This window comes from Homo sapiens, chromosome 5, assembly GCF_000001405.40.
Source record: "Homo sapiens chromosome 5, GRCh38.p14 Primary Assembly".
Lineage (NCBI taxonomy): Eukaryota > Metazoa > Chordata > Mammalia > Primates > Hominidae > Homo > Homo sapiens.
In genome coordinates, this window is record NC_000005.10 from 65,554,060 (window position 1) to 65,562,227 (window position 8,168).

Below are 8,168 nucleotides of genomic sequence, written 5' to 3' on the forward strand. Positions count from 1 at the left end.
ATTTTCTTCTTTATGCTTTGTATACCTCTTCTACTTTTACAGGCTAACTCCTAATTATCCTTTAGAAATGAAACCAGTAATTATTTTTTTTTTTTTTTGAGACGGAGTCTCACTCTGCTGTCACCAGGCTGGAGTGCAGTGGCACTATCTCGGCTCACTGCAACATCCGCCTCCTGGGTTCAAGCAATTCTCCTGTCTCAGCCTGTCTTAGCCACCCGAGTAGCTGAGACTAAAGGTGCACACCACCGTGCCCAGCTAATTTGTGTATTTTTAGTAGAGATGGGGTTTCACCATGTCGGCCAGGATGGTCTCAATCTCTTGACCTCATGATCCCCCAGCCTCGGCCTCCCAAAATGCTGGGATTACAGGCGTGGCCCAGTAATTACCTCTTTCAGAAAGCTATCCTTGACCCCTTCACCGGGTTTAGCACTCCTGCTAAGTATAGTCTTTGTACTTCTACAATACATCTAATATTGTATTACAACATAATATAATGGCTGTTGTTTCCATAAGATTGTAATCTCCTTGGGAGCATGGATTGTCAAAATTTTTCTTTCTATAGCTCATCTAGTGTAAAGTTTCTTGAATGAATGCTGATAGGTCTAAAAGCTATATAAATATTTATCATACATAATGGCTTTTGGAAACTAGCACAATCATTTCTTTCCTGAGTCTATTTATTATTGAAGTTGATTTAAATCTTATATTAACTATCACTTCTATCTTTTGAAACTTACTTCTTCCATATCTTTCCACATTTCTTCACATTCTCTAATAAGTTCTTCTTCAGTATTTGTAACATCTCCCACATCTGTAGTACTATCCGGATCTAGATCCTCCTGATTCATTGATATATGCTTTGTGAATTTTTAGCCTTATAAGAAAAACTAAAGCAAAAAATATTTATTCATTCAGCAGTATTGGTTGAACACTTATTACCTGCCAGATACTCATCTAGGGGGTAAGAATATAGCAATGAACAAAATAGACAAAAATCCCTCCTACCGTGAACCTTATTCTAAGTAAGGAAAACAGACAATAAAATAAAAAATAAAACATATATATACTGTAGTATATCAAATGATTTATAAGTGCCATGGAGAAAAGACAAGGAAGAAACATAGGAAATGCTAGGGCAAGGACAATATAATTTTAAATAAGGTGGTCATATAAGGTTACTGAGAAATTGACAACTGAGTAAGAAGACATGAAGAAGATAAAGAAATGAGGTCAAGGATGAAGAGGGGCAGAGGGTTCAGACAGAGGGAACTGCAAGTGCAAAGGCCTTGATGCAGGAATATGACTGCCATGTTTCCACAGTAGTGAAGGAGCTGGTGTGATTACAGCAGATTAAGTAAGACAGAGTAGAATATGAGGTCAGAGAGACAATAGGGATGAGATCATGTGGGTTTGGTAGGCTATTTTAAGGACTTTGAGATGATAAGCAATTAGTTTTAAACAGAGGAATGAATCATTTGAATTACATTTTAACAATACAACTCTGGTTAACTACAGGCAGTAAGGATAGAAGCAGGAAAACCAATTAGAAAGCTACTGCAATGACCCAAGCAAGATGTAGACCAGGATAATATTGATAGAAGCAGCACAGAATGTCCCATTCTGGATATATTTTCAAGATGGAGCCAACAGAATTTCTTAACAGCATGTATATGGACTGTCAGAGAGAAGTGAATTATTACGTTGCCAGTTACTGAGGTGAGAAAGATGGTAAAAGAAACAGATTTGGCAAACATGGGAGAAGTGCTGATTAAAAACTCAGTTTAGGATATGCTACATTTGAGGTGTCAATTATTGGAGCTGCTGATTAAGCAATTAGATATACATGTCTGCAGTTGAAAGCAAAGTTTTGAGCTAGCAATATGAATTTGACAGCCATCATCACACAGATAAGACTTACACACTACATAATGACATTTTGGTCAATCACAGACTGCACATATAACAGTGGTTCCAATGGAGCTGAAAAATTCCTATTGCCTACTGATGTCTTGATGATCCTGACCTTGCCTTAGGCCTAGGCTAATGTGTTTGTGTCTTCGTTCTTAACAAAGAAATTAAAAAAGTAAAAAATAAAAATAAATAAATTAGCTAGAAAAAAAGACATAAAATATGCCAGGTGCAGTGACTCACACCTGTAATCACAACACTTTGGGAGGCCAAGGTCGTAGGATCACTTGAGTTCAGGAGTTCCAGAACAGCCTGGCAACAAAGTAAGACCCCTATCTCTATAAAAAAATTTTAAAAATTAGCTGGGTGAGGTGGCCCAGTCCTGTAGCCCAAGCTGCTCAGGAGGCAGGGGCAGGAAGATCGCTTGAGTCCAGGAGTTCAAGGTTATAGTAAGCTATGATCACACCACTGCATTTCAGCCTGGGTGACAGAGACAAACTCTGTCTCTAAATTAGAAAATAAAAAAAGAAAGAAAATATTGTTGCACAGTTATACAACATGTTTATGTTTTAAGCTGTTTTTATGAAAGAGTTGATATGTTAAAAAATTAAAAAGATAAAGCAAAAAACTTACAGCAAGCTAAGGTTAATTTATTATTGAATAATTAAAAAAATAAATTTAGTATAGCCTAAGTGTACAGTATTTACAAAGTCTACAGTAGGGTACAGTAATGTCCTAGGCCTTCATATCTTCTCACAACTCACTGACTCATCTAGAGCAACTTCTAGTCCTATAAGCTACATTCATGGTAAAAGCCCTAGACAGGTGTTCCACTTTTTGTCTTTCATACCATTTTTTTTACTGTACCGTTTCTATGTTTAGAAATGTTTAAATACAAAAATACCATTCTGTTACAATTACCTACGGTATTCAGCCTAGGTATGTAGTAGGTTATACCATCTAGGTTTGTGCTCACATGATGAAATCATCTAACAATGCATTTCTCAACACATATCCCCGTTGTTAAGTGACACATGACTGTACTTACAGTTGTGAGGATAGGTGAAATAAGAAAAGGAAGAGTGTGCAGCTAGAAATGAGAAGATCTTCAGGCCAGGAGCTATTGAGGTAAGAACCAACTGAATAGTCTGAGAAGGAGCACTCAGTAAGTTAAGAGGAAAATCAAGAGCATGATACCCTGAAATCCAAGAATGTATTCAAGGAAGGAATGATAACTGTCAAACACTGGAGACAGGTCAAGTAAATTACAGAGAATTGACAATTTATTTAGTAATATAGAGGAGCAAACTGTTTTTTCTAAAAATACTCACAGCAATATTTCATCATTCCCCATCAAGAGACAGAGTCTTTTTCCTCTCCCCCTGAAACTGAGTGTGACTTTGTGGCTGTCTTTATAAAGAGAATACAATGAAAATGACACCACATGACTTTCAAGACTAAGTCATAAAAGGCAATATAGCTAACTTCTGGCTTTCTGTGTCTTGGAACACTCACCCTTGCAACCCAGGCACCATGTTATGCGAAAGCCCAAAGTAGCACAAAAGGAAGAGATCAACATAAAGTCCATGAGGAAAGGAACTGAGGTTCCCAGACAAACGCTGGTATCAACTCCCAGACATACACACGATCATTTCTGACAATTAAGCCCCTAGGCTTTGATCTTCTAGCCAAGGCTCCAGATACTGTGGAACAGAGAAGCTGCTCCTGCTGTGTCTTGTCTGAATTTCTAATGCACAAAACTCATGAGCGTAATAAATAGTTGTTTTACACCTCTACATTCTGGGGTAATTTATCACAACAATTTTCTTGGAGTAAACATACAAAAATGAAGGCCACAGATAACCTTCATAGGAGTAGTTTTAGAAGAATGGCAAGAATAAAAATCTGATTGGAGTGGATTCAAGAAAGAATGGAAGGCAAGGAATTAAAAATATTAAGTATATGAAACGTTTTCAAGAACGTTTTCTCTAGCCAGGCATGGCAGCACATGCCTGTATTCCAAGGTATTCAGGAGCTGAGGTGAGAGGATCACTTGAGCCCGGTGAACCCAGGAGACTGAGGCTGCAGTGAGCCACAATCACACAACTGCACTCCACCCTGGGTGACAAAGCAAGACCGTTAAGACCATACCAAAAACAAACAAACAAAACAAACAAAAAGAAAACACACACACACACATTTTTTTTTCTTTAAAGCACAAGAGAGAAATACAGTTAGTAGCTGGAGGGAGATATAGGGTTAAAAGAGACTTTTTCTTTTTTAAAGATGGGAGAAAATATAGCATCTTTATACGGTACAGTAAAAGAAGGAAATGTTGCTAATACAAGAGAGAAAGGGGAGAAGAAAGAATGGGATCTAGTACATAAGTAGAGGTGTTGGCTTAAGATAAATGGACATGCAGTTCATCCATTTTAATGGGAGGGTCATCAGAATATCAAGAGTGTAGATGCAGGTAGGTAAGTAGACGTGTTGCTAGGAACTTGTAGAAATTCTATGTGGATTGTTTCTCTTTTCTCCGTAAAATGGTAACTACGGTTATCAGCTATGAAAGGATGGGAAGAAAGTACTGCGAGTTTAAGAGCACAGGAAAAGAGATGTATAAAACAGATATATAAAAAAATGGGAGAGGATAAAGTTACAGGATTATTCAGTAGTAGCATTACAGGCTCACCTGAGATTAGTATCATGAGTTTAAAGTAAAACCAGAGCATGGTTGTATGTTTTCTTCTATGGTGTAGCACCACAGGTACAGACAGGGACAAAGTGAAAGAATGGCCATAGGAATAAGTAGCTAAGACAAGAGAGAACATAATCACTAGGGGAAAGAAGGTCAAGAAAAAGAGAGGCCAAGTTATTGGATCATCTATAAGGATATTAAAATCACTAAGAATTATGATAGTAGTACTGCAAAGGGCAATGAGCCAGGAGCTAAAAATCTTCAAGGAATGAGGGTGAGTAAAACAATCTTGCTAGATGATTCCTGCAAAGAATGGAAGAGGATTAGAGTCTGGTGGCATAAGATTCAAAACTGGGCAATTTTAAGGAGGTAGACAGTGCAATAAAGAATGATGAGGATGTCTACCCCACATCAAACGCAAATCAGAATACCCCTCCTCAATATCTTTATTCATATGGAACTTCTGCATTTTATACTGCTTAATCAATAACTTATTAACAGAGAAGTTCTAAGGCAGACCTAAATAAATGGAAAGATACTTCATATTCATGGACTGAAAGACCCACATTGTAAAGACGTTAATTCTCCCCCAAGTTGAGCTACTGAATCTTAACCAAAATCCTGAAAGTTTTTGTTTCTCTTTATGGGACTTGACAAGCAAATTGTAAAATTTACATGGAAGGGCCGGGCGCGGTGGCTCACGCCTGTAATCCCAGCACTTTGGGAGGCCGAGGCGGGCGGATCACGAGGTCAGGAGATCGAGACCATCCCGGCTAAAAGGGTGAAACCCCGTCTCTACTAAAAATACAAAAAATTAGCCGGGCGTAGTGGCGGGCGCCTGTAGTCCCAGCTACTTGGGAGGCTGAGGCAGGAGAATGGCGTGAACCCGGGAGGCGGAGCTTGCAGTGAGCCGAGATCCCGCCACTGCACTCCAGCCTGGGCGACAGAGCGAGACTCCGTCTCAGAAAAAAAAAAAAAAAAAAATTTACATGGAAGCACAAAGGGCCAAAACTAGCCTAAGATCCTCATGAAAAATAAGATGGGAGGACATACCCTACACTATTATGGCAATGTAGAACTGGCACATAAATAGGCAAATTGAGCAATGGAACACAATACAAAGCCTTTCTTGACTTTCTATATTCACATACATATGGACACATGACACATGACAGAGATGACAAGGCAAATCAAGGAGAAAAAAATAATCCAAATAGATATATATTTTATATATAATACTGTTTTTTAAATGTATATTTTGGTCCATATAAATCTTCCTCATTTTTTTTTAACATTTATAGTATTTGCGGAGAAAAAAATAAGTCTAAATTCATACCTGAATCTTTATGTCATTCCTCACTCCCTCAAAAAACCCAAAATAGAAATCACAAAAAAATAGGATGAAAACACAGAAACTTTTAAAATCTTAGATTAGGAAACACCTTTCTAAGCAAAACTAAGTAAAATCTTTACACCAAAATTTTTTTTTTAATTCTGCATGGACAAACATCTCATCAACAAAGTTAAAATTTAAAACCCCCAAACCTAGGAGAAATACTTGTAATATATATGGCAACCCAAGACCTAATTTCCTTAATATATAACAAGTGCCTACAAATTCATAAGAAGAAACCAAACAACTCACCATTAAAAAAAATTTAAAAAAGATTACCAAAAAAGTCAGGTTACCAATTACTTTGGAGGAAGAGTGGAAGGGGGAAAAGGGTTGTGGCTGGGATGGGCCAAATGGAGAGATTTCTGAGGTAATTATCAAAGTTTTATTTTTTGACTAGCATGATGGTAAGGGTGTTCACCTCATAATAATTAGTAAACTTTACGTTTATTTTGTGTCTGCATTTTTACAATAAAAAGGTAAACAACAAAAACAATTCAATAGAAACTGGCAAAGAACACAAATGAGGAATTCAAAGAAAAAACAAATACCTTTTAAATACAGAAAAAGTACATTCATAAGCTCATATATAATTTATGAAAATCCAAATTAAACAAGCATTAATTTTCATTCAGAATGGCAATAATGTAAAATTGGTAAGAGATAATACTGGCAAGCATGTGAAATAAGAGGCTTGCACTGTTGGTGGAACAATCACTTTGTATGATAATATCCATCAAAATTTTACATGCATTTCTTGTGATCCAGAAGTTCTATTCTTAGGAATAATCCTAAAGATAGATATGTCTGCATAAGTCTATACAATTATGTTTACTGGCACATTACTTAGAGAAAAAAAAACTTTAAAGGTATGAACTCTGCAACCAGACTATACAGGTTTAAATCTGTTTTGATATTTAAAAGCTATGAGACTTGGGCAAGTCACTTAAACTTTCTATGCCTCAGTTTCCTTTCCTATAAAATGAAGATAATATTAAATACTCCCTAGGGTTATGACAATTAAATGAGTATATAAATATATATATATAAGTACTGTAGCTAGCATATAAAGAGCTTTATCAGTGTTAGCTATTAACAATTTGAATGTCAACTAGTAGAAGGCTGAAAATCTCACCTGCTATACCCATAAGATACAGTTTAAGTTCACAAAGCCAAAATCAGTCATCATGAATTTTAGAATATTTTTAAGCGAAAAAGTCAAACATAAATATTTCTTTACTGACCACCAAAATACATTATCAATATGCAAAAGTAATGCAAAACTCTGCACATGTGGTGGGGGCGGAGGGTGAGGGATAAATATTCAACAAATTATCTGGCTTGGCGATTTAATGTGGCAGTAGAATAAAAACATATAGAAACATTTAAGAGTTTGCTCTCTACCGCTTGAGGATGCAAGATGTAAGCTGTATGTAACCTGGAAGAGGGTCATCAACAGAACCAGAAAATGATGGCACCCAGATCTTGAATCTCCAGCCTCTAGACCTGTGAGAAATAAATTTCAGTTGTTTAATTAAAACACACACACACACACACACACTTAAGAGTTGAACTTTTCCCGTTCCCACATTTTGTATCCTTAAACCTATCTTCCTGGAAAGGGAACAAGTCAACTTTTTGAGGTCCCCAGTTAGGACTACAATACTTAATCATTTATTGAAGAAAAACAGTATCTCTTTATTTAGGGATAATACTATACTTAAAGAAACTCGTACTATTAATTGGGAAAAGATTAATATACATGAAATAAGCAAAAAATACCCACATAATTCTAAAATACATTCATTTATTCAACAAATATGTTAATGTGTGCCATTGGTCAGACACTGGCTTTAGCTGTGTAGATGAAAAAGTCTTTGTACTTGTAGAGCTTCCATTCTCATGCAGACAATATAAATGAATGGATAACTAAATACATGATATGATTTCAGGTAGTCAGAAGTGCTATGAAATGGTAAAGTATACAACACTGCCTGCAAGTACTATCGGAATTCAGGATAGGGAAGCTTAGAAAAACCAACCCGGAAGGAATTAGTCCATAATAATGCTTAATAAATGTTAACTAGCTACATTATTATTATCATTATCATTATCATCTTCATCCTCATTATTGCATTGGTCTCTGAAAGATGAGAAGCTGTAAACATG

The 8,168-nt window shown here is 36.4% G+C and overlaps 1 protein-coding gene across 32 annotated transcripts in view, besides 1 other annotated feature; it reads right to left on the reverse strand.

The window, feature by feature from the left end:
* Nucleotides 1–8,168, reverse strand: part of CENPK (centromere protein K) — a 67,545-nt gene that overhangs the window by 58,436 nt on the left and 941 nt on the right. For 10 of the 32 annotated variants that reach the window (XR_007058617.1, XR_001742177.2, XR_007058615.1 and 7 more), the window contains 2 exons: nt 7,438–7,505; nt 738–839 (listed from right to left, as the gene is read on the reverse strand). Coding sequence is in view for 24 of the 32 variants with exons in the window: in XM_017009696.3 (XP_016865185.1) it covers nt 738–839; nt 7,438–7,452 (117 nt within the window). In the remaining 8 variants the exon portion in view is untranslated. Of the gene's footprint in view, nt 1–737; nt 888–3,239; nt 3,319–7,403; nt 7,506–8,168 lie in introns of all 32 variants that reach the window. The other 22 variants (XR_007058616.1, XM_047417485.1, NM_001267038.2 and 19 more) reach the window with 7 other exon arrangements.
* Nucleotides 5,395–5,894: an enhancer, noted in NCBI's record as "H3K4me1 hESC enhancer chr5:64855281-64855780 (GRCh37/hg19 assembly coordinates)". NCBI's record gives its function as "activates a minimal SCP1, AML or CMV promoter by ChIP-STARR-seq in primed H9 embryonic stem cells {active_cell/tissue: H9 hESC(primed)}" and the evidence as "EXISTENCE:reporter gene assay evidence [ECO:0000049][PMID:30033119]".